General features: G+C 38.2%; 1 protein-coding gene across 58 annotated transcripts in view, besides 1 other annotated feature; it reads left to right on the top strand.

Annotated features, from left to right (window-relative positions):
- MSH2 (mutS homolog 2) overlaps nt 1-25,828 on the top strand; it is a 306,764-nt gene that overhangs the window by 54,842 nt on the left and 226,094 nt on the right. For 34 of the 58 annotated variants that reach the window (NR_176244.1, NR_176248.1, NR_176245.1 and 31 more), the window contains 7 exons: nt 5,123-5,246; nt 8,750-8,900; nt 13,057-13,154; nt 17,117-17,362; nt 18,459-18,663; nt 20,364-20,611; nt 22,788-22,963. Coding sequence is in view for 37 of the 58 variants with exons in the window: in NM_001406637.1 (NP_001393566.1) it covers nt 5,123-5,246; nt 8,750-8,900; nt 13,057-13,154; nt 17,117-17,362; nt 18,459-18,663; nt 20,364-20,611; nt 22,788-22,963 (1,248 nt within the window). In the remaining 21 variants the exon portion in view is untranslated. Of the gene's footprint in view, nt 1-3,009; nt 3,049-5,122; nt 5,247-6,371; nt 6,505-8,749; nt 8,901-13,056; nt 13,155-17,116; nt 17,982-18,458; nt 18,664-20,363; nt 20,612-22,787; nt 24,514-24,584; nt 24,773-24,870; nt 25,321-25,828 lie in introns of those variants that run through there. The other 24 variants (NR_176250.1, NM_001406660.1, NM_001406661.1 and 21 more) reach the window with 11 other exon arrangements.
- Nucleotides 14,794-14,958: a silencer, noted in NCBI's record as "fragment chr2:47699841-47700005 (GRCh37/hg19 assembly coordinates)". NCBI's record gives its function as "represses an EF-1alpha promoter that drives an FKBP-Casp9 reporter gene in an ReSE screen in phorbol 12-myristate 13-acetate-treated (for megakaryocytic differentiation) K562 erythroleukemia cells {active_cell/tissue: K562(+PMA)}" and the evidence as "EXISTENCE:reporter gene assay evidence [ECO:0000049][PMID:32094911]".

Raw genomic sequence — 25,828 nt, forward strand, 5'->3', positions numbered from 1 at the left:
TAGCAGAGACAGGGTTTTTGCTATGTTTCCCAGGCTGGCTTTGAACTCCTGGGCTCAAGCAATCCTCCTGCCTTGGCTTCCCAAAGTTGTAGGATTACAAGTGTGAGTTTAGAGAGGTATAATTTCTTACTCAACTTCAAGTATTTTATTTCTCTTATCATTTGTTGTTTGGTTTGTTAATTATTTGGAAGTATATTTTTAAATTTCCAAGCTTAGTGTGTGTCAGTTTCATAAAAGTTCCCCATGTATTTAAAAATTGGATGTGTACTCTAATTTTGGGATTGCTTTTTCATTGTCTATATATGCTTGCTAATTTTTGATCTGCTGGGTTACTGAGAAGGATGTGGGTTTCTCCATCTAGTTCTATTTTTGGTTAATATGTTAGGCACAGAGCTGTTGTTTTTTTGTGGTGAATTGAATCTTCATCATTCTTTAGGGACTCTGTCCTTAATAATGCTTTTTTTGCCTTACATTTTGTTTCATTGTAAGAGAGCTATGTCAGAGTACTTTTTAAAACACTTTTTAATATGGTATATATTTTTTTCTTTTTTAATGAGGTTTTTTAACCGTAAGTTTAAGCAAAATAAAGCTTAATAACTGGATTTTATTTAGTTTTAAATTTAATTTGATTTTTTTTTTTTTGAGACTAAGTCTCACTCTGTCGCCCAGGCTGGGGTGCAGTGGTGCGATCTCAGCTCACTGCAGCCTCCGCCTCCCGGGTTTAAGTGATTCTCCTGCCTTAGCCTCCCTAGGAGCTGGGATTACAGGCGTGCGCCACCACGCCTGGCTAATTTTTGTATTTTTAGTAGAGGCGGGCTTTCACCATGTTGGCCAGTCTGGTCTCGAACTCCTGACCTCAGGTGATCCACCTGCCTCAGCCTCCCAAAGTGCTGGGATTACAGGCATGAGCCAACACTCCTGGCTAATTTAATTCGATTTTTTTAGTAGCAGTTTTAGTCTATTATGTTTGTTGTAGTTACTAGTATCTTTGGATTTATTTCTACCTAATTATTTGGTGATTCCTCTTCTTCCTGGTTCCACTTACACATTAAAAAAAAAAACAAAAAAAACTTAGAATAGAGATGGTGTCTCACTATGTTGTTCAGGCTGCTCTCAAACTCCAGGGCTCAAGTTATCCTCCTGCCTTGGCCTCCCAAAGTGCTGGGATTACAGGTATGAGCCACCATACCTGGTCCCCCTTGCCCATTCTGTTTTACTTTTGTATTGCTTGGGTTTCTAAAATTCCATTTTGTCCTCTCCCTTTGCTCTTCCCCAATCCTATCTCATCACACACACTGGTTTGGAAGATAGCCACTTTTTTTTTTCCAATGTGTTTACTTATCTTATCAGAGTCAAAAGCCTATCAGTATCTTCTCAGATATCCCAAAAAATACTAGGACCTTAAGACACCTAAAATCAGGTTACATTTCTTCATAATTGTCTAGTATTCTAGTTCTATCAGTTTTACCTCTCAGATCTCCATTCTGTAAGTCAATGTTAAGTTTAGATTTGTCCATATGCATACGAGTTTCTTTGGTATTCAATACTTCCTGTATATTTTTAAGAAGTTCCTTTGTTGGAGGTCTGTTAGGTTTTATTTGTTTGAAAATGTCTGTATTTCACCCTTGTTCTTGAAGGATGGTTTTTCTAGGTATACAGTTCTTTTTTTTTTTTCTTTGATACAGTTTTGCTCTTGTTGCCCAGGCTGGAGTGCAATGGTGCGATCTTGACTCACTGCAGCCTCCACCTCCCAGGTTCAAGTGATTCTCCTGCTTCAGCCTCTCGAGTAGCTGGGATTACAGGTGCCCACCATCACACCTGGCTAATTTTTGGTATTTTTAGTAGACGGGGTTTCACCATGCTGGCCAGGCTGGTCTTGAACTCCTGACCTCAGGTGATCTACCTACCTTGGCCTCCCAAAGTGCTAGGGTTACAGGCGTGAGCCACCGTGCCTGACAAAGGCCTAACTTTCCTTCCTCATTCTTTTCATCTTGTTTCTTGGTTTCATCATCCCATTTTTTAGTTTCTTTTCAGTCTCCTTTTGTGTAGCCTGAAGCAATAACTGTGTTTCTGATGCCTAGGTAAGTATACTGTAGGTAGGCTGATACTGTTCAGCTAGTACATAGTAGAAGTCAGATGTCACATTTTTAGAATACTCCAGTTCTAGATAAGAATACCTTGTTGGGTGATATATTTTATTATCCTGGATTGTTTGGCGGATGTAATGGATTGCTGAAGACGCCCAGTTTCCTGTGTGGCCCTTGAGTATTTATTTTAGTAAGTTAGAGGCTAGTTGTTCACTTTTCCCTTGTTTAACTGGGGACTCCTCAGCAGCCCTTTCAAAACAGTATAACCTCATCTGAGAAAGGAAAATGTAAGGATATTCATTAAGTTTTCTTCTCTCCAGATTTGGGATTATTTTTAGGAATTCTCAAGAGTTTTGTTGACTTACCAACTAGGTTTCTTGAAGATGGTGAGTGAGGATAGGAACTTGGCCTGGTTTGGCTCACCTCTCAGATTCATTGGAAGAGGCAAGTTCATTAGCACAGTTTCAGTCCACCATTACAGCATTTTTTTCCTGAATTATTATAAGTCTTAGTCAATATTTCCAGATAATCATCATTATCTGTTTAAATTACTGCACAGTATTCTATTTTACTGATGTACCATTGTGCAAATACTATGATGTTTTATTATTTTTAAGTTTTGCTATAACAGATAAGTCTGCAGAGATTTTATTCAGCTCTGTATTGTTTTGCTTCTGTTGCATTGTTTCCTCAGATTGAATTTCTAGGAGTAGAATTGCTATGTCAAAGAGAATAACAAGTATCTCTGAGCCTTGCCGCATACTGCTTTTTTCATTTTTAAAGGTTATACCAAGTTAGAGTCTCACTAGAACTGAATGAGTGTACTAATTTTACTGTAGCTAGTTTCTTTTTTTTTAAAAAAAAAAAAAGCTGTAGAATAATCTCAAGGTTGCTTAAATATTTCTGTCTTTTATTCTTACAGCATTTCCTGTGGATTAGTTCACTACTTATTTTCTTATCTGTGAGTTGTAAGTGCTTACACATGCCCACTTGATGACCTTGATGTTTTCTTACACATGGAAGCAAGTGCTTTTTGTAAAAGAATATATTAACCTTTATCTTTTTACATTTTGTGAAGCTTTTTTTTTAATGTTTCATCTTTTAAAAATTAGGTTTATTCAGAATTTTAAATTTTAATATTATATTGAATTTCTTTTGGTTGGTTTAAATTGAGAAAGTTATTTTATGTATATTCTCTTTTTTTGCTAGCTTTCTGTAATTTGATTTTAATTCCTTATTCCTTGCATAGTTTGCTTCTGGTATGTTAAAGTGTGCTCTCTCTAAGTGGGTAGTAATTAGGAACAATTTATCTCAACCTCATTTATTGAATGTTTTAAATCAAGAGAACGGACTCTGTTATATTAAGCTTCTATATATAATTGTCTGTTTCACTGTAATGCCTAGTAAGGATACACTTCATTCTTTTTTTAGATGTTCTTTCACAATTTCATGTAAATTTTAGTTGTTTTGTTTCAAAAAACAATTCCTATTGAACAATCTCTAGGAATAGATAGCTTAATAATAATATTAGATCTAGTTTTCTCTTTTCATAGTTTACCTCTTCTTTCTTTTCTTTCTTTTTTTTTTTTTTTTGAGACGGAGTCTCGCTGTGTCGCCCAGGCTGGAGTGCAGTGGTGCGATCTCTGCTCACAGCAAGCTCCGCCTCCCAGGTTCGCGCCATTCTCCTGCCTCAGCCTCCCAACTAGCTGGGACTACAGGTGCCCCCCACCACTCCTGGCTAATTTTTTTTTTTTTTTTTTTTTTTTTTTTTTTGTATTTTTAGTAGAGACAGGGTTTCATTGTGTTAGCCAGGATGGTCTCAATCTCCTGACCTCGTGATCCGCCCACCTCGGCCTCCCAAAGTGGATTACAGGCGTGAGCCACCGCGCCCAGCCTCTGTCTCTCTTTTCTTTTTCTTTTTCTTTTCTTTTCTTTTCTTTTCTTTTCTTTTCTTTTCTTTTCTTTTCTTTTCTTTCCTTTCCTTTCCTTTCCTTTCCTTTCCTTTCCTTTCCTTTTCTTTTCTTTCTTTTCTTTTCTTCTCTCTTCTCTTCTCTTCTCTTCTCTTCTCTGTCTTTTTTTGACGAGTCTCAGTATGTCACCTAGGCTGGAGTACAGTTGCACAATGTTGGCTCATTGCAACCTCTGCCTCCCTTGTTCAAGTGATTGTCCTGCCTCAGCCTGCCAAATAGCTGGGACTACAGGTGCGCACTGCTACGCCCGGCTAATTTTGTATTTTTAGTAGAGATGGGGTTTCACCATGTTGGCCAAGCCGGTCTCAAACTCCTGACCTCAAGAGATCCACCTGCCTCGGCCTCCCAAAGTGCTGGGATTACAAGTATGAGCCACGATGCCAGTCCAATTCTTGTGTAGTTTTTTAATCAGCTGAATTTAACATTCAAATTCTTCTTTTAAATCTTCCAATAGGCAGTTATCTTTATAAAGATCCTATATAATCAAGACTTTGTTTCTGAATATTTTATGTATGTTTTTGCTACTGTAAATGAGATCTATTTCTCATTGTGGTTTCTTGCTGTTATTACTGGTAAGAATTTAGTGAAACAAAGTACTTAAGAGTATGTCTTTAAATTGTGAGATTTTGATGAACTTTTAAGAAATAAAATTCTTTAGTTTCTTAGAGCTTTTTGAGATTTCTAAGGTAGATCCTTGGTTTGGGCAACATATAACTATTACAAGTTTTGCACATTGAACGTTATTTGGTAATTTTTAGAGAGGACATTTTAAATGTTTAGGAAAAATATAAATAAAATGTAGAATACTATTGGGGGCATATACATCATCAGCACTGTAACTGTTTCATATGAATCATTTTTGTACATATAGAACTCTAAAGTCCTAATGAACAGAATTTTACATTTCTATAAATAGAAAGTCCTTAATAGTTGTGACTGAATAACTTATGGATAGCAAATTATTTAACTGAAAACAGTAAAATTTAAGTGGGAGGAAATATTTGCTTTATAATTTCTGTCTTTACCCATTATTTATAGGATTTTGTCACTTTGTTCTGTTTGCAGGTGGAAAACCATGAATTCCTTGTAAAACCTTCATTTGATCCTAATCTCAGTGAATTAAGAGAAATAATGAATGACTTGGAAAAGAAGATGCAGTCAACATTAATAAGTGCAGCCAGAGATCTTGGTAAGAATGGGTCATTGGAGGTTGGAATAATTCTTTTGTCTATACACTGTATAGACAAAATATTGATGCCAGAATTATTTTATAAGTTCCCTGTCCCCAAGATGATGACTTCACATCTCTGTCAAACAGAAATCGCCCAACAGGCCCTTGTATGATGTCATTTAAACAAGCCCTATTTTAAATGTCACCTCCACTGGTAACAGGATACTCCTAGGAGGATCACCAAGCCCAATTCTTCTAGGAGTAGTGCATTGATTAGGCTTTGGGGTTTCCAAGCAGTTCATTAATGTCACTTTTGGAAAAAGTCTGTCTTTCATACCAGCTTATTAATTCCCTATGGGTTCACACGGTTTTTTTTCCTGGATTTTCATCAAACATGTGTAAGGTACTCAGTACAAAGAAGTTTAGAAATCCAGAACAAAGCAGTGTATTTAAGTAGTAGTAAACTTCCAGATAATCTGATGCCCATATCTACATATATAAAAAATTTGCAAATAGTTCTGTAGAGAGTCCAAACATGGAGTAGATCCCTAATTAAGAGCCTTTGCATTAAAGTCCACCTTCCTCATTTCATAGCTAAGGATATTGAGGCTCAGAGAGTTTATGTGTCTGGAGTTAAAGTTATTTTGTGTTTCCTTAATTTTTGACTTACTAGAAAGTTAAAGTACCTACAGATTTCTGTGTTTCACTATATGTTAACTTGCTTGGCTGGAAGTTTTTCTGCTGATAATTGGTTTTATGAAGGAAGAATCCTGTTAAGAATGCATCATTGGACTGGGTGTGGTGGCTCACGCCTGTAGTGATCCTAGCAGTTTGAGAGACCGAGGTGGGCAGATTGCTTGAGTCCAGGAGTTTGACACTAACCTGGGCAACATGATGAAACCCTGTCTCTACAACAAATACAAAAATTGGCCATACATGGTGGCACGCACCTGTGGTCCCAGCTACTCAGGAGGCTGAGGTGAGAGGATCACTTGAGCCAGGGAGGTTGAGGCTATAATGAGCCATAATTGCACTACTGCACTCCAGCCTGGGTGACAGGGTGAGATCCTGTCTCAAAATAAGAAAAGAGAATGCATCATTGGCCAGGCACAGTGACTCATGCCTATAATCCCAATACTTTAGGAGGATCACTTCAGCCCAGGAGTTCAAGACTAGCCTGTGCCACATAGACCACATTTCTACCAAAAATCAAAAGGAAAAAACTTGCTGGGTGTGGTGATGCACACCTGTGGTCCCAGCTACTCGGGAGGCTGAGGTGAGAGGATTGCTTTAGCTTAGGTGGTTGAGGCTGCAGTGAGCCATGATAGCACCACTGCATTCCATCCAGCCTGAGGGACGGAGTGAGAGCGACACCTTGTCTTTAAAAAAAAAAACAGAGGAATGCATCATAGTATATATTAAATTATTGCCTATTTTTTTATCTATTTTATTGAGTGCTAATAAGAAAATTAATGGCAAAAACTTGTTTTTTACAGTATAAATTAAGTTTAATTTCATTTTAAAATTAAGTAAATTTGTTTTATTAAAAAGTATGTTGAAAGCAACATAAATAGCACTCAAATTGAGACAGAAACTGTAACTGTAGTATAAGAAGCATTAGGCTGGGAATTGGGAAACACGAGTTCTAGTTGCAGCTTGGAAACTTTTTCTGAAGCTCTTTACAAATTACTTAATTTCTCTGGTTTTCACCACATTGTTCTATAGCATTAACATGTTGGATTCATTGCTTTAATTCTTAGACCTACGTGTCATCAGAAATGCCATTACACTTTGAGGATTTGAGCCTTATTTTAAATAAAGTTGTGATCCTCATGGCAGCCTAGGTTTACATGTGTTAAATAAACAGTATTCTGTAAATACCATTGTCTTTCATGTTTAGTGATGTTGCTGTTGTTAACACTGCAGTGAAATGCATATATAAGCAAACTACATTACATACTCATGAACATGGTCCTTTGTTTTGAAACTTTGATCACTGATTGTTCGCAGTCTTTCATTGTGGAACTACTCTTTCACTTTGAATGTTTTGAGAGGTTCCTTTGTTCAGATCAGTCCGATTTCGTTTCTGGGTGGGTCTCTACTTTCCCTTTTCTCACTGGTCAAGCGAGGTCTGTCTAATTGTTTGCTACTACTAACATTTGATGGCCACGCTTCAGCAAGTACATTTGTAGATTCTCTCTCTCTGTCTCTCTTAATTTGTGGTCTAGAGATCATATTGGTTAATGAAATTATGAAGAGGGAATGTATTTATAAAAACTCAAATTCTTGATGCAGAAGGTCTAGCTGATTGTGAACCCAAAATATCCGAGACAGGTCACAACCAATTTAGAAACTTTATTTTGCCAAGGTTAAGGATGCATCCATGACATAGTCTCACAAGGTTCTAATGACACATGCGCAAGGTGGTTAGGGTACAGCTTGGTTTTATACATTTTAGGGAGACATGAGACATCAGTCAACATGTGTAAGATGTACATTGATTCTATCCAGAAAGGCAGGACAACTTGAAGCAAGGGGCTTTCAGGTAATAAGTAGATAAGAGACAAAAGGTTGCATACTTTTGAGTCCTTGATCAGCCTTTCACTGAATAAACAAGCTTAGTCTTGTTAGTGAATCTGCGTTTTTACATAAACAGTAGGTCAGAGGAAGCAATCAGAAATGCATTTGTGTCAGGTGAGCCGAGGGATGACTTTCTGTCCCTCACCTGTGAAGATAAGCTATCAGTTTCCATTGCTAGGGTGAAATTCAACAGAATTGTTTGAGAGTGAACATCTGGAGGCCCACAAGGACTTTCCTTGTGGAGGGGAAGTATGTAGTGAGGGAAGTATGTAGTTTTTAAATCTTTGTCGCTATCTTATTTAGAAATAAGATGGAAGGCAGGTTTGTCTGACATAGTTCCCAGCTTGACTTTTCCCTCGGCTTAGTGATTTTGCGGTTCCGAGATTTATTTTCCTTTCACATATCAGTCAGATCATTTGGTTTGTGAAGTTTCCTATGCTTAACAGAAAATATGTGCACTAGTTTTCCTAGAGTTTCATTGTCAGAGTCTCAAGTTTTTGTTTGGAAATTGTATTTGGTCACATTAATTATACTCTATGTTAGTTCCAAAGAAATACCTTTGGTTAAGAAAAGAATTCTCATGCATAACTCCTCGAGGGTGGGGTTACACCTTAATCCATCCTCAGGTGCTCATGGTAATTGGGGCAAATATGTTGCCCAGTGCTGGTGCTCTGCAGCCTTGGATGGGTTTACCCAGAAAGCAGCTTTCAAGTCAGAAACTAACATTCATAAGGGAGTTAAGGATTTTATAAATAGATATCCATAATTCATGTAGTTTTCAAGTAAGTAGTATTTGAATCTTTTCTGGTTAGATAATAATTGTGAGTATGTTGTCATATAATAACAGTATGTTTTTCACTATTTAAATAATTTTAGAATTACATTGAAAAATGGTAGTAGGTATTTATGGAATACTTTTTCTTTTCTTCTTGATTATCAAGGCTTGGACCCTGGCAAACAGATTAAACTGGATTCCAGTGCACAGTTTGGATATTACTTTCGTGTAACCTGTAAGGAAGAAAAAGTCCTTCGTAACAATAAAAACTTTAGTACTGTAGATATCCAGAAGAATGGTGTTAAATTTACCAACAGGTTTGCAAGTCGTTATTATATTTTTAACCCTTTATTAATTCCCTAAATGCTCTAACATGATGTGAATGTTCTATGATAAGTTTTACTAATGTAGTCATCAGGTAAGAGTCAAGCTTTCTTCCATAGAGCAGTCAGCTGTCGCAACACCATTTGTTAAATAGTCCGTCTGTTCTCCATTGACTGAAGTGGTACTTTGGGTCTATTTTAAAGACTCTACTTTTACCTCGTCTCACCATTCTTTTGTCTACACAAAATATATTTTATCGCTTATTCTGTGTTACCATATCTATTAGAGCTAGTTCCCCCTCATATCTCTGCTTTAGTTATTTTCACATGTTTCTTTTATCTTTTTTTTTTTTGGAGATGGAGTCTCGCTCTGTTGCCCAGGCTGGAGTGCAGTGGCATGATCTCGGCTCACTGCAAGCTCCGCCTTCCGGGTTCACGCCATTCTCCTGCCTCAGCCTCCCGAGTAGCTGGGACTACAGGCGCCCGCCACTGCGCCCAGCTAATTTTTTGTATTTTTAGTAGAGACGGGGTTTCACCGTGGTCTCGATCTCCTGACCTCGTGATCCGCCTGCCTCTGCCTCCCAAAGTACTGGGATTACAGGTGTGAGCCACCGCGCCCAGCCTTATCTTTTTTTTTTTTCCCCCTGAGACAGAGTCTTGCTGTGTCGCCCAGGCTGGAGTGCAGTGACGCGCAGTCTTGACTCACTGCAGCCTCCACCTCCCGGATTCAAGCGATTCTCATGCTTCAGCTTCCTGAGTAGCTAGGATTATAGGCATGCACCACCACGCCTAGTTCATTTTTGTATTTTTAGTAGAGATGGGTTTTCACCATGTTGGACAGGCTGGTCTCGGACTCCTGGCCTCAAGTGATCCACCTGCCTCAGCTTCCCAAAGTGCTGAGATTACAGGTGTGAGCCACCGTGCCTGACCCACATGTTTATTTTTTCTAAGAAAACTTTACTATCATTTATCAAGTTAAGAAAATTATTCTGATATTTCAATTGGGTGTTTAAATTAGTTGAGGGAAATATGAGGCCATTCACTAGATGATAGGTTTTTTTTGTTTTAATCATGTTTCATGTTGAAACAAAAAAGTTTTTTCCTGCCAGTTTTCTGGCTAATCTCAGGAAGTCCCTGAAACAAATTATTGATAAGTAAAAAAAATTATTTAAAAAATTTTAAATTATATTTAAAATCTTCTGTGACTTATGGTGGGGGGAGGCTAAAGCCTTTCTCCTTCTGTACTGTTCTGGAAACTATGGCCTGTTCTACTCCCTCCCCTCCTGAATTTTCCCAGAACTTTACAGGTAGCTTTTATATATATGATCCCCTGTCGTCTGTTTAACAAGTACTTTGAGTGTCTATTATATGCAGACATTCTAGGTGTTCAGACACCCTAGTAATTAGTTTGTTCCTCATAATTCTCAGTAAAGAAGACATGTATATTTCTCATTTTATAGGTGAAGAAGCTAAGACTTTACTTTTCCTCAGTTAGACAGCTAGTGCTGGTGGGTGCCTAAACTTAGATCTTCCATTGCCAAATCTAGGTGTGTTGTTTTTCCAGCACACTAGAATCCTCCTGGTTCAAGAAATGTATATATTTTAGCTTGGATAAGATACAACTTTTGGAGTGTTCTAATCATCTTCAAGTTTTTCGTGGATTAGTTATAACATATGAAAAAAGATAGGGCTGAATGGGCCACATGATGCCAAAAGTGAAAAAGTCACTCACTAGATTATGACCTGCAGAATCTGGTCCTTGCCTGCCTCTGCTTTTATATTTTGCAGCTTGTCCCTTCACACAGTGGTCTCACTTTTATAATGTCTTTCCCTCATGCATTTCTTTAATTCTTTTTATTTGCCTGTTCCATAGTAGTCTGTTTGTGCTGCTACTTGCCCCTGTACTGTTCTTGAGCTATACATATACATGTCTGCTGTGCCATTGAGTGATTCCATCAAGGCCACAATTATCATCTTGATGAACTGATTTTCTCCCACTGCTGATAATTACTTCTCTCTCCTTTCTTTCTCCTTTACATCACCTCTTTTTGTTCTTAATTTCATTCCCTCCTTGATGCCAGTGAGTATTTTTTTCTTATTTTATTCTCATCTTCCTTGAGTATTGTTTATTTCAACCTCTTTTTTTTTTTTTTTTTTTGGAGAAGGGTTTGGCTTTGTCGCTCAGGCTGGAGTGCAGTGGCACAATTTTGGCCCACTGCAACCTCCACCTCCTGGGCTCAAGCCATCCCACCTCAGCCACCCAAGTAGCTGGGACTACAGGTGTTGCCCACTGCTTTGTATTTTTAATAGACACAGGATTTCCCCATGTTGCTCAGGCTGGTCTCGAACTCCTGGGCTCAAGCAGTCCACCTGCCTTGCCCTCCCAAAGTTCTGGGATTACAGGATTACAGATGCTGTGCCCGGCCCAACCTCTAATTTTAATTTTCTCTTCAAATTGTTCAATAAGATTTAGTTTCAAGACATTTTCCTGGCCGGGCATGGTGGCTTACGCCTATAATTTCAACACTTTGGGAGGCCGAGGCAGGTGGATCACTTGAGGTCAAGAGTTCAAGACCAGCCTGGCCAGCGTGGTGAAACCCCATCTCTACTAAAAAATACAAAAATTAGCCGGGTGTGGTGGTACATGCCTGTAATCGTAGCTATTGTGGAGGCCGAGGCATGAGAATCGCTTGAGCCCGGGAAGCAGAGGTTGCAGTGAGTTGAGATGACACCACTGAAATCCAGCCCGGGCAACAGAGTCAGACTACGTCTCAAAAAAAACAAAACAAGCTGGGCGCCGTGGCTCACGCCTGTAATCCCAGCACTTTGGGAGGCCGAGGCCGGTGGATCACGAGGTCAGGAGATCGAGACCATCCTGGCTAACACGGTGGTGAAACCCTACCTCTAGTAAAAATATAAAACATTAGCCGGGCGTAGTGGTTGGTGCCTGTAGTCCCAGCTACTCAGGAGGCTGAGGCAGGAGAATGGTGTGAAGCCGGGAGGCAGAGGTTGCAGTGAGCCTAGATCGCGCCACTGCACTTTAGCCTGGGTGACAGAACAAGACTCCGTCTCAAAAAAAAAACCATTTTTCTTATTTTGAAAACTTTTGGTATTGAAAGATATTTATACTACAGTAATGAGAAATACTGTGTGTGTGTATATATGTTTGTGTTTTTTTTTTTGTTTTTTTCTTTCTCTCTCTCTCTTTTTTTTTTTTTTGACAGAGTTTTGCTCCTGTTGTCCAGGCTGGAGTGCAGTGGTGCTATCTCGACTCACCACAACCTCTGCCTCCCGGGTTCAAGTGATTCTCCTCCCTCAGCCTCCCGAATAGCTGGGATTACAGGAATGTGCCACCACACCTAACTTTGTATTTTTAGTAGAGACGGGTTTTCCCCATGTTGGTCAGGCTGGTCTTGAACTCCTGACCTCAGGTGATCCACCTGCCTCGGCCTCCCAAAGTGCTGGGATTACAGGCACCCTGCCTGTGTTTGTGTTTTAAAAGGGGTAATAGCTTCAGTCTTTTTTTTCTTTCTCTGAGACGGAGTTTTAGTTTTGTTGCCCAGGCTGGAATGCAATGGTGTGTTCTTGGCTCACCACAACCTCCATTTCCTGGGTTCAAGCGATTCTCCTGCCTCAGCCTCCTGAGAAGCTGGGATTACAAGCACGCGCCACCATGCTGGGCTAATTTTTGTATTTTTAGTAGAGACGGGGTTTCTCCATGTTGGTCAGGCTGGTCTCGAACTCCTGACCTCAGGCAATCCACCGACCTCAGGTGATCCACCCGCCTCAGCCTCCCAAAGTTCTGGGGTTACAGGCGTGAGCCACCACGCCCGGCTGTCTTCAATCTTAAATAAGGATTCCATTTAAATATTTTGTAAAAGGACACAGATCACAGTTTTACTCAGGGGAATATAATTGTTATAGCAGGAATTGTGCCATTGCGCTATTCCAAACAGTGTAAAAGAACATTAATAAATTGAATTCTAACTACATTTGTCCCTAAGGAGTTGTTCGTTTTCCACTTGTATTTCCATTTTAATTATCATTATTTGGATGTTTCATAGGATACTTTGGATATGTTTCACGTAGTACACATTGCTTCTAGTACACATTTTAATATTTTTAATAAAACTGTTATTTCGATTTGCAGCAAATTGACTTCTTTAAATGAAGAGTATACCAAAAATAAAACAGAATATGAAGAAGCCCAGGATGCCATTGTTAAAGAAATTGTCAATATTTCTTCAGGTAAACTTAATAGAACTAATAATGTTCTGAATGTCACCTGGCTTTTGGTAACAGAAGAAAAATCATGATATTTGAAGTGTGTTTTGTTATTTTCGCAAGCCATTACATTCTGACTATTTAATATGTTAGGTTTCCTATATAAAATAAGGCATGGTATGTTACAGTAGGACACATAACTGGAAGTTACTCTTGCACATAGAAACAAAAAATGGCAGAAAAGCACAAAACTTACTATAGTTGTAACAGGGAAAGGAAACACTAGGGCCTACAACGTACTAATGTCTTGGGTCATCTATGGGCTCATGAGGCTCTAGGTTATGGAAGTAAATACCACTGAAAAGCAAATATTAATTACACATGAGGCAAGCCTTTTTGAGTTCTGTATGTCATTTTGTAGATTTTGAGTTCATTCTAGTGGCACCATTTGAGATCATTTTCATGTAATTAAAGGAACACAGCAACCTGGCACTGTGTTATTGCCCTTAGAATGGAATGAATATATGTTTAGCACAAGGTAGGAAGTGATGCGTTAAGTTGGAAGGCTTTGCCGATCATGGTGTGTATGTTGACTAACCTTTATTGTGCCTTTAAAAAATATACTCAAGAACTACCTTAACCAAGTAATTAAAGTCAAGATTACCAGTTGTGGGACAAATGACATGTACTTCCTGGTGTGATATAGAAGGAAGGACACAGTATCACCTATATAGTATTCTTGACCAGAATATTTAACCTGATTTTAAACAAGAAGTAAAAATTCAAATAAATTTAGATTGTGGTGCATTCAAGGCCTGAACTTTAATAAATGTCCATGTCACGGCAGCAAAAAAGAAATCAACAGGTCTTAAAGAGACAGGGCAACCAAACGCAGTAGGCAGTAGTTGATTAGATCCCAATTTAGAGGTTGGAGTTGGGGAATAGCTATAGAGGACACTATTGGGGCGAATTGAGAAAGTTTAATATGAGACAATATGGTGTTAGTGTCAGATTTCTTGTGTGAAATGGTAGTGTTATGATTAGGAGAATGTCCTTGTTCTCAGGATATGCATGCTAAATTATTTAAGGACAAATATTTTTTTAAAAGGTTATGTGCATGAGTAATTCTATAAATTGTGTTGCTATTATGAATTGTCATGGTAAATCAAAAGGAAACATAAAACTCAAAAGGTTTTATTTTAATACACTTTATGTATTGAAATGAATGGAATTGATTTGTAAAGATTACATTTTTGCTTGTTGGTGTCAGATAACTGTGACGTAATAATCTTTTGCTGAATTATGTTTCTTAGGCTAGATTTCATTTTAAAGAACCCTGTAAATACCATTTATTTGAACTGTGGATCTTCCTTAAAAAATAATATTTATTAAGCACCTAGCAGGGTAAAGTTTTTAGATTTTAACATTTAAATTGAAGGTTTTATATTAGAAGTCAACCTGAATTTAAATGAAACTTCTTCTTGGTCTGATATTACATATTATGAGCTATTTTTATTTAAAAATGTAATGGCGGCCAGACATGGTGATTCACACCTGTAATCCCAGCACTTTGGGAGGCTGAGCTGGGAGGATTGCTTAAGCCCAGAAGTTTGAGACCAGCCTAGCCAACATAGGGGGACCCCAACTCTACAAAAAAATCCAAAAAATATTAGCCGGCTGTGGTGGTACATGCCTGTAGTCCCAGCTACTCAGGAGGCTGAGGCAGGAGAATCACTTGAACCCAGGAGGTCGAGGGTGTGGTGAGCCATAATTATGCTACTGTACTTCAGCCTGGGCGACAGAGCAAGACTCCCATCTCAAAAAGTGTAATGGATCACTTTAATAATTTTCTATCATACAATTAAGTCATAAAAGGTCATGCTATTAAGAGCCAGTTATGTGACATGCCAAGTATAGACTCTTAATTAAGATGCTTTGGTTTGCTTTTTATTTATTTATTTATTTTTCAGATGGGGTCTTACCATGTTGCCCAGGCTTTAGTGCAGTGATGCGATCATGACTCACTGCAGCCTCAACCTCCTAGGTTCAAGGGATTCTCCCCACTTAGCCTCCCAAGTAGCTTGGGACTACTACATGTAGTAGTGCCACCACACCTGGTTAATTTTTTTTTAATTATCTTTTGTGGAGATGAAGTCTCACTCTGTTGCCCAGGCCAGACTCAAGCAGTCTTCCTGCCTTGGCCTCCGAAAGTGTTGGGATTACAGGCGTGAGCCACCCTGCCCAGCCTAGTTTTCTTTTTTTTACTATAAACTTATTCTTGTCAGTATGCTAGCAATTTTACAAGTTTTAAAGTAGTTATAGCAAGTACTTCACTCATGTTTAATTCTTAAAGGCTTCTATTGCTATATAATAGGGTAGTCTGAATTCTTCAAAAGTGTACTGAGGCCAGGTGCAGTAGCTCACACCTATAATCCCAGCATTTTGGGAGGCCGAGGCGGGTGGATCACCTGAGGTCAGGAGTTCGAAACTGGCCTAACCAACATGTTGAAACCCTGTCTTTACTAAAAGTACAAAAATTAGCTGGGTATGGTGGCAGGTGCCTGTAATCCCAGCTACTCAGGAGGCTGAGGCAGGAGAATCGCTTGAACCCAGGAGGCGGAGGTTGCAGTGAGCCAAGATCACACCATTGCACTCCAGCCTGGGCGACAGAGCAAGACTCTGTCTCCAAAAAAAAAAAAAAAAAAAAAAAAAAAAAGTATACTGAAACAGAGGAAGATAATTAGGTCTGCTTGGCCATTGTTAAGTTGATTTTTATTTTCAAAACATTTGATCACTGTTGTGGGGAACAAGGGAATAAAAAATAAGTTAAATTTCCAGCCCCTAGATTAAACTAATAATTTTTGGTTTTCCTAGAATTAAATGCTTTTATCTTGAATGTTCTGTGAAGCTTTTGACATGATTGATAGCTGTATGATAGTCTGAATGACATGTGGGTCATGCACCAGCCCCTCCAACCTGTTAACATTTAGAATCTATTCAGAAAAATTTAAGCATTGTTAATTTCCTTTGTTTTTTGTCTAGCATGTGTCAGATTTTTTTAAATGTATTTATTAATAGCTTTTAATGTTAATACTCTAGAACAGTAGAATCTTGAAAATGTTTTAAGTGACAATTAGAGATTTAAATTTATGCTGACATCCTCTGCATGTGATACTGATGAGGAAAGAAAGCCAAACTGTCTTACGGTCAGTTCGTACAATATACCAGGCCTTGATGGTCACATTTCAACTTGCTACCTTTTTGCTTACATTTTTCTTATGGTGATTTTGAGGTGTCATTCTGGTTTCTCAGATACTTAAAATATAGGAAAAGGTGTGTCTTAAAATTGAGAGAATGTCTTGGATAAGCAGCTGTGTAGTTTTATATTTTGCTGATAAGGGAAGGTACTCTATTTTTGTTTTTTGTGTGTTTTTGTTTGTTTGTTTTTGAGACAGAATTGCCCAGGCTGGAGTGCTGTGGCGCAATCTCAGCTTACTGCAACTTCCACCTTCTGGGTTCATGCAATTCTGGTGCCTCAGCCTCCCAAGTATCTGGGTTTACAGACATGCACCACCATACCTGGCTAATTTTTGTATTTTTGGTAGAGATGGGGTTTCGCCGTGTTACCAGGCTGGTCTTGAATTCCTGGCCCCATGTGATCCCCCGGCCTCATGCGATCTGCCCGCCTCAGCCTCCCTAAGTGCTGGGATTATAGGCGTGAGCCACCCAACCCAGCCAGTACTCTGTTTTTGATAGCTATTCACAATGGGAAAGGATGTAGCAACACATTTTAACCCTATGTTGAGTTTTAGGTGGGTTCCTTTGAAATTTTGTTAAGGCTAACTTTTGTTAATTTTTTTAAAAAAGTGTAAATTAGGAAATGGGTTTTGAATTCCCAAATGGGGGGATTAAATGTATTTTTACGGCTTATATCTGTTTATTATTCAGTATTCCTGTGTACATTTTCTGTTTTTATTTTTATACAGGCTATGTAGAACCAATGCAGACACTCAATGATGTGTTAGCTCAGCTAGATGCTGTTGTCAGCTTTGCTCACGTGTCAAATGGAGCACCTGTTCCATATGTACGACCAGCCATTTTGGAGAAAGGACAAGGAAGAATTATATTAAAAGCATCCAGGCATGCTTGTGTTGAAGTTCAAGATGAAATTGCATTTATTCCTAATGACGTATACTTTGAAAAAGATAAACAGATGTTCCACATCATTACTGGTAAAAAACCTGGTTTTTGGGCTTTGTGGGGGTAACGTTTTGTTTTTTTTTTTTTTTTTTTAATCTTGGAGTAGAAATATATTTAAAATTGATGGAGAAAATTCCCAGTTCTTAACATTAGAAAGGGAATATATTATTCTTACCAGTTAGTAATCTATTCACATTTGGTTTAGAGGGAAGATTTAGAAGGTGAGATAAAAGCTTGTGAGAGAATAGTGTATTCATGTGAAACTTCTTCCATGGGTTCAGAGCATTTAGAAACAAACATCCCTTCACACTCAAAGCTTACCTTTGAGCCAGTCCTCCAATAGTGAGGTCTTTGAAGGTCAGGCCAAATTGGCTGTGGGAGGACCTCAGGTTAGGATAGGAATTATTTTAAGACATGGCACTATATTCATGTGAAACTCGCAAAAACTAGCCTTGCATATAGGCTCATGTATCATGTCTCAGCTGAGATGTTTGAGAGATCTTAACTAGATTCTAGAAAACAAAAAAGGAAGTAGTTTTGGGGCAAATATATTTGGGAAACAGTTTATTGTATTTCCTTTCCCCAAATGGATTTTCAAGTTCTTCATATAATCTAACCCCAACAAATAAATTGCCTGTTTTTCAAAAGAAAGATCATGTCTTCAGGTTTTTGTGTGGGGTTTAAATGATTCGAAAGATTTGACCATACTGATACATTCACTAGTAACCTTAGTTACTAATGAGTAATGGTTTTGAGTTAATCAGTTAGGCCTGAACTACTTTTCTGGAAGTTAGTAAATTATCTCACAGGCAGCCCTGTGAGCCATGGGAAAATGTGTATATGGTCTTTCTAGGCCACAGTCAAATTACAGGTATATTTGTCATGGCTTCTCTTGATGAAAGGCCCAGTATCGGTTTGTCTGAAGATATATAATAGCATTGCTTTTGGGGGTAATATGGGCAGTAACTCTGTCCACATCTTTGGGCAGGCTGTGGTTCTGCCTTTATATGCTATGTCAGTGTAAACCTACGCGATTAATCATCAGTGTACAGTTTAGGACTAACAATCCATTTATTAGTAGCAGAAAGAAGTTTAAAATCTTGCTTTCTGATATAATTTGTTTTGTAGGCCCCAATATGGGAGGTAAATCAACATATATTCGACAAACTGGGGTGATAGTACTCATGGCCCAAATTGGGTGTTTTGTGCCATGTGAGTCAGCAGAAGTGTCCATTGTGGACTGCATCTTAGCCCGAGTAGGGGCTGGTGACAGTCAATTGAAAGGAGTCTCCACGTTCATGGCTGAAATGTTGGAAACTGCTTCTATCCTCAGGTAAGTGCATCTCCTAGTCCCTTGAAGATAGAAATGTATGTCTCTGTCCTGTGAGAAGGAAAAGTATATTTGCAGATTCTCATGTAAAAACATCTGAGAATGTTTGTCTTAGTTTAATAGTTGTTTTCCTGTGGACTTTATATACTTTGTATTGTCTTAAAAGAGTGATTGATGGTAGCTACGGAAAACTTTGATTTTTAAAATTGTCTCTTTAAGTAGACAATTTATAAGCTACTGGTACGAGTTCACCTTATAAATCTCCACTACCATGTTTTTGCTTGGACTGTTCACACTTCCTGGAATGGTCCTTCTTGCCGTTTATCCAACTTCTTTCTAATTTTTAAGTCCCTAATGATGGGAATTCTATTTCTGTAGTGATTTTTCTGGTCATACGACCGTAAGGTCATGGGTGTTTTTCTCTGAATTCCTCTTGAGATGCCTGTAACTTGAACCACGTTTTTATTCTAGACATTACTGAAATGTTTTGTCTTTATTTCACTTTTTAGGAGCTTCCTTGAAGGTAGGGACTATACCTTCTATTTCTTGGTATCTTTTTCTTTCTTTTTTTAAAAGTTTTTTAGAGAGACAGGGTCTCACTCTTTTGCCCAGACTGGTCTCGAACTCCTGGGCTCAGGTGATCTTCCTGCCTTGGCTTCCCAGAGTGCTGGGATTACAGGCATGAACCACCGTGATCCTCCTTATTTCTTAGTATCTTCTAAAGAACATTAAATATAGTAGGTGCCTAGTAAATTATGTATTGATTTAACTTCTTTGAGGTTCTGTTGTTTGTGAAGAATTATAAAAGCAATACAAATGTTTGTATAGTAATTAAGCAACAGGTTAATATTCATGACTTAAAAGATTAAAGAAATAAGCAAAACATGTTAGCTGGCAACTCACAGAAAAAGAATTAAATTGCCAATGAGCACACGAGCACATGAAAAATTAGCAAAAGTTTCACCCCTTTACATATATTTGGTTAAAATTGAGAAAAGAATAGTAATAGATGGTATTGGTAGGACTGTGGCAGGCACACAATTTACATGACCACCAAAAGTGTATGCAGGTATCCATGTCACCACACCCTGGTCTCATCTTCATTCAGTTTTATTTATTTTTTTTAATCTCGGCCTATTTGATTGGCACGAAATGAATGATAGCTGCCTTATTTGGAATTCCTTTGATTACTACTAGTGTGCTTGATAATGTAAAACAATATTCAAAATCTGTTTTTCCTTTCATCCGTTGTTTGTTCATGTTCATGACCTTTTTTTTTTTTTCCTATTCTCCTCCCTCCCTCCCTCCCTCCCTCCCTTCCTTCCTTCCCTCCTTCCCTCCTTCCCTCCCTCCCTCCCACACAAAGGTGTGTGCTACCATACCTGGCTAGTTTTTAATTTTTTTTTTTTTTTTTTTTTTTAGAGGCAAGGTCTCACTATGTTGCTCAGGCTGGTCTGGGCTCAAGTGATCCTCCCACCTCCGCCTTCCAAAGTGCTGGGATTACAGACGTGAGCCATCATGCCTGGCCCTTGCCCATTTTTCTATTGAAGTTTTAGTGCTTTTTATTGACTTTGTTTATATATTAAGATAATCCATTATGTTTGTGGCATATCCTTCCCAATGTATTGTCTTAATTTTGTTTTTGTATGTGTATGTTACCACATTTTATGTGATGGGAAATTTCATGTAATTATGTGCTTCAGGTCTGCAACCAAAGATTCATTAATAATCATAGATGAATTGGGAAGAGGAACTTCTACCTACGATGGATTTGGGTTAGCATGGGCTATATCAGAATACATTGCAACAAAGATTGGTGCTTTTTGCATGTTTGCAACCCATTTTCATGAACTTACTGCCTTGGCCAATCAGATACCAACTGTTAATAATCTACATGTCACAGCACTCACCACTGAAGAGACCTTAACTATGCTTTATCAGGTGAAGAAAGGTATGTACTATTGGAGTACTCTAAATTCAGAACTTGGTAATGGGAAACTTACTACCCTTGAAATCATCAGTAATTGCCTTATTCTAAGTTAGTATAAATTATTGATGTTGTTATAGAACCCATTTACCCCTTAATTCACAGTCTGGGGGTAGGAACATGTACATCATATTTCTGTATCTCATAGTAGGACCACTCATTCTAAAGCATTCACAGAAAGAATTATCTGTACTCTTTTTGGGACAGAATCTCGTTCTGTTGCCCAGGCTGGAGTGCGATCTCGGCTCACTGCAACCTCCGCCTCCCGGGTTCAAGCGATTCTCCTGCCTCAGCTTCCCGAGTAGCTGGGATTACAGGCGCCTGCCACCACACCTGGCTAATTTTTATATTTTTAGTAGAGACGGGGTTTCACCATGCTGGCCAGGCTGGTCTCGAATTCCTGACCTCAGGCAATCCACCCGTCTCGGCCTCCCAAAGTGCTGGGATTACAGGTGTGAGCCACCACGCCCGGCCAGAATTATCTGTACTCTTGAACATCACCATGGAGGCATTTTCTGCTACCTCCCATGGCAGTATGTTTTCTTGTTGAATTAGGATAACAAACAATATGCTTTCAAGTTCCAAAGTTCTAGCTGTTATTGTTTAACAAAATCTTCATTATAATTAGCTTATTTTGTGTTTAAGAGTGTGTTATAGAAACAGGTTCATTTAAAGCTGGGGGTTCCAGAAATCTTGAAATAGTAGTTATCACATGCAGAGTGACTTATCTGTTGTTGTTTCATCCTTTCAGGAAAGTTTGTCATTCGTGGGCTTGGGATCTAGTCAGATCCCTGTATTGATGAGATTCACATGTTATAAGGCTTTCAAAGGTTTTAAAAATCATACTATAAGGATTGATTTCACTAGTCACCAGAATAACTTTTTCAGATAGCGCTCTGATTTTCCACGAACACGTTTTTCTGCATCAGTTGGTTGCACATGAGTGAGATAATCTTGGTTCTTTATCCTTTGTTATTTGTACTTCATTGGGAATCCTTTTGAGTTAGTATATTTGAGTCATTATTATTATTGCTGTAGAATTCAGGAACTTTTAGTAGATCTGGCAGCATAAAATTTTGCTTTTAAATCATTGTTTGTGTTTTGTATGCTATAGAAATGGGTTCAGAATATTTTTTAAAAGGCCAGATGAAGTGTGAAGATAGAAAAACTTCATCCTTCACTGTGAATGTTTAACAAACATTTGCTTCTACTTTATTTTTGTTTGCTTCCTTTAGTTGTGCAAAGTATTCAGTTCTAGAATGCATGAGATATATGACAAAGCCAAAAAATTCTTTATAGTTGATAAATAATTGTGGCAAAAACAGCTGTATAGTAACTTTGCAAGCATCATTTGATTAAATGCTTAAAAAGTCTTGACTCAGTTTTAACTATTTCCTGCAAATAATCAATATTTAATTAAAGCTACTCCAAATTAGTGACACTTTACGTGTCTGTCTTTCTCCCTCCCCTTCTCCCTTCTCCCTTCCCCCTTCTCCCATTCTCCCATTCTCCCTTCTCTCTTCTTCCTTTCCTCTTCCCTTCCCTTCCCCTTTCCCTTCCCCCTTCCCTCTTCTCTTCCCCTCCCCCTTCCCATCCCCCATCCCTTCCCTTCCCCCATCCCTTTCCTTTCCCCTTCCCTTCCCTCCTCTTCCTCCTTCCCTTCCCCCTTCCTCCTTCCCTTCCCCCTTCCTCCTTCCCTTTCCTCTTCCCTTTCCCCTTCCCTTCCCCCTTCCCTTCCCTCTTCCCTTCCCCTTCCCCTTTCCCCTCCCCCTCTCCTCCCCTCCCTTACCTTCCCATGAAATGAGAAAGCCTCAGAGATAGTGGCTTGATTAATTTTTCTTTAGATTAAGATATTTGTCTAAGCCTTTAAGGTTTATCTATTGAGCTTTTTTGTCTCCTATTTTTATTTTTCCTACTATGTTTGTCGAGGATAAAATACAGCACTGTGTGCCAAGTCATAATCACTTTTCATTTGAGACTTAATTAAAATGCCTTTATTTTAATGATATATTTGGCTAATGTATTTGAAGTAATCCGAAATTAAGTTTTCTAATGACAAGGTGAGAAGGATAAATTCCATTTACATAAATTGCTGTCTCTTCTCATGCTGTCCCCTCACGCTTCCCCAAATTTCTTATAGGTGTCTGTGATCAAAGTTTTGGGATTCATGTTGCAGAGCTTGCTAATTTCCCTAAGCATGTAATAGAGTGTGCTAAACAGAAAGCCCTGGAACTTGAGGAGTTTCAGTATATTGGAGAATCGCAAGGATATGATATCATGGAACCAGCAGCAAAGAAGTGCTATCTGGAAAGAGAGGTTTGTCAGTTTGTTTTCATAGTTTAACTTAGCTTCTCTATTATTACATAAACAGGACACTAAGATGAAGGTTTTTTGTTGTTGTTTGTTTTCCTCTGTGTTTCTAGTGCTTATTTTTTAATCAGTTTTTTTGATGGCAAAGAATCTATCTCTGTGTTATTTTGATTTCTGCAGTATATACATCTGCATGATCAATATTCGATTTCAAGTACCAAAGTAGGAGTAAAGGAATATTAACCTAGGTTTAAAATTAGTCATTTCACTAAAATTAGTTATTATGGACGATAGATGTCTAGGTATATCTTTGTTCATAAACGAATATATCAAGTTCAGTTATTAAATTACACATTAGGTAAGAAAAGGACAAAGAAATAAAAAAGCATGATTCATAATTCCTGCCCTCTATTTGTCTAGAATTTAGTTGGGAAGATAAGAATAACGAACGTGACACAGAGAATAAAGTGGCATATGACAAATATTTATTCAAGAAAGCTATATGTGGACGGGATGTTTCAGTTCTCATGGGAGAAGTGGATTTTATGGTGCCTTTGAGTAATGGGTCATATTTGGGCGTTCACACAGAAAGACCCAAGCATATGCCTAATTTTTTATTATTATTATTTTTTATTTATTTATTTATTTTTTAGACGGAGTCTCGCTCTGTCGCCCAGGCTGGAGAGCAGGGGCGCGCGATCTCGGCTCACTGCAAACTCTGCCTCCTGGGTTCACACCATTCTCCTGCCTCAGGCTCCCGAGCAGCTGGGACTACAGGCGCCTGCCACCACGCCCGGCTAAATTTTTTGTATTTTTTAGTAGAGATGGGGTTTCACCGTGTTAGCCAGGATGGTCTCGATCTCCTGACCTCATGATCTGCCTGCCTTGGCCTCCCAAAGTGCCGGGATTACAGGAGTGGGCCACTGTGCCCGGCCCTTTTTTTTTTTTTTTTTTTTAAATTAGAGGATTACTAGTTCTCTTCAATTATAAAAATAAAAGAATCTTATTTCACTGCCTGGTCCTGGAAACATGTACTGCAATATACATTGTGACAACTTTTTACCTGTCATGTTTTTAGCTTTTACCTGTGAATGTCTTATCATTGTTCTTATCTGAAGGATAGATAGTTGCTACAATAATAATAGATGGTGTGTATGGTTTTTGAGCCTAAAAAGTGTAGTTTTATCTGTTGTACCTATACAAGCAGGAGAAATATAACTTGTTAATAATTTTAGGTATGGCAGGCTGCCATCCTAAATATGAAGTGGTCTTTGTATTTGCACTTTAATGTGTTGAAATCATAGCTTTCAGTGATCCAGGATTAGGCAGACTCTTTTATGCAATCTCTTGTTTCCAGTTAGAATAGAAGTCGTGTACTTTTGATAACATTAATTATAATATATTTTGAGCCCTGTGAGGTTGGTAACATTATTCCCATTTTATGAATGAGGAATGTGTGTTAAGGAGTTTGCCCAAGAGTCACATAGCAAGTCATAGTCATGCTCTCTGAAGCAGCAATAACTTGGCAATAAAATAAAAATGAAGCATCTTCTGTATGTGTTAACTTTTCAGTGACTGTTTATGCCTTCCAGTATTCTTTGTAAACCTTGAATTCTTTTTTTCACAGATGATTAAAGTTTATCAATTGTAAAGGTGGAGGAATTTGGGAACTAGACAGTGCACACATAAATAATAAATATGTTCTTCAAATATTGGGTGGGCTAATGTGGGAGGAGTTTGAGACCAGCCTGGGCAACATAGTGAGACCCTCGTCTCTAAAAATATGAAAAATAAAAAAAAAATTTTTTAAATGTGTGATATGTTTAGATGGAAATGAAACAATTTGTCACTGTCTAACATGACTTTTAGAAAAGATATTTTAATTACTAATGGGACATTCACATGTGTTTCAGCAAGGTGAAAAAATTATTCAGGAGTTCCTGTCCAAGGTGAAACAAATGCCCTTTACTGAAATGTCAGAAGAAAACATCACAATAAAGTTAAAACAGCTAAAAGCTGAAGTAATAGCAAAGAATAATAGCTTTGTAAATGAAATCATTTCACGAATAAAAGTTACTACGTGAAAAATCCCAGTAATGGAATGAAGGTAATATTGATAAGCTATTGTCTGTAATAGTTTTATATTGTTTTATATTAACCCTTTTTCCATAGTGTTAACTGTCAGTGCCCATGGGCTATCAACTTAATAAGATATTTAGTAATATTTTACTTTGAGGACATTTTCAAAGATTTTTATTTTGAAAAATGAGAGCTGTAACTGAGGACTGTTTGCAATTGACATAGGCAATAATAAGTGATGTGCTGAATTTTATAAATAAAATCATGTAGTTTGTGGAATTTGAGATGCATTGTAGTTCTTCGCAGTGTGACTTCAAATATTTTGGAAGAAACAAATAGCTCAGAGACCTCGTAAAATATCTTAAACTGGAGGGCTCCATGGAGATCATTGCGAGTGACTCCCCCAGAATGTCCATCTGTTGACAGGAGCCAGGCTGGCTGCATACGAATTAGCTAAGGAGCTTATTATATATCCAGAGTCCTACCGTGAGCCTCCATCCCGTCTGCCATTCTCCCATCCCTGGTCTATGATAAGACTTAGAAATCTGGATTTTAACAAAACGTTTCAGATTGAGAACCTTGATTTAGTCTACTTCTCCTATTTTACAATAAAGAGATGAAGCGGTTAAGAATTAGCTAATCCTACGCAAAGTGAGGGAAAAAGGACAGTCTTTTTAATAAATGCGGCGGGCTGGTGGGGTATCCATATAGGAAGAAATGACATTGGACCCCTACTCCATGTCATATATAAAAACCTCCACTTTGGGAGGCGAAGCAGGCAATCACTTGAAC

The sequence above is a fragment of the Homo sapiens genome, chromosome 2 (assembly GCF_000001405.40).
Source record: "Homo sapiens chromosome 2, GRCh38.p14 Primary Assembly".
Taxonomy (NCBI): Eukaryota; Metazoa; Chordata; class Mammalia; order Primates; family Hominidae; genus Homo; species Homo sapiens.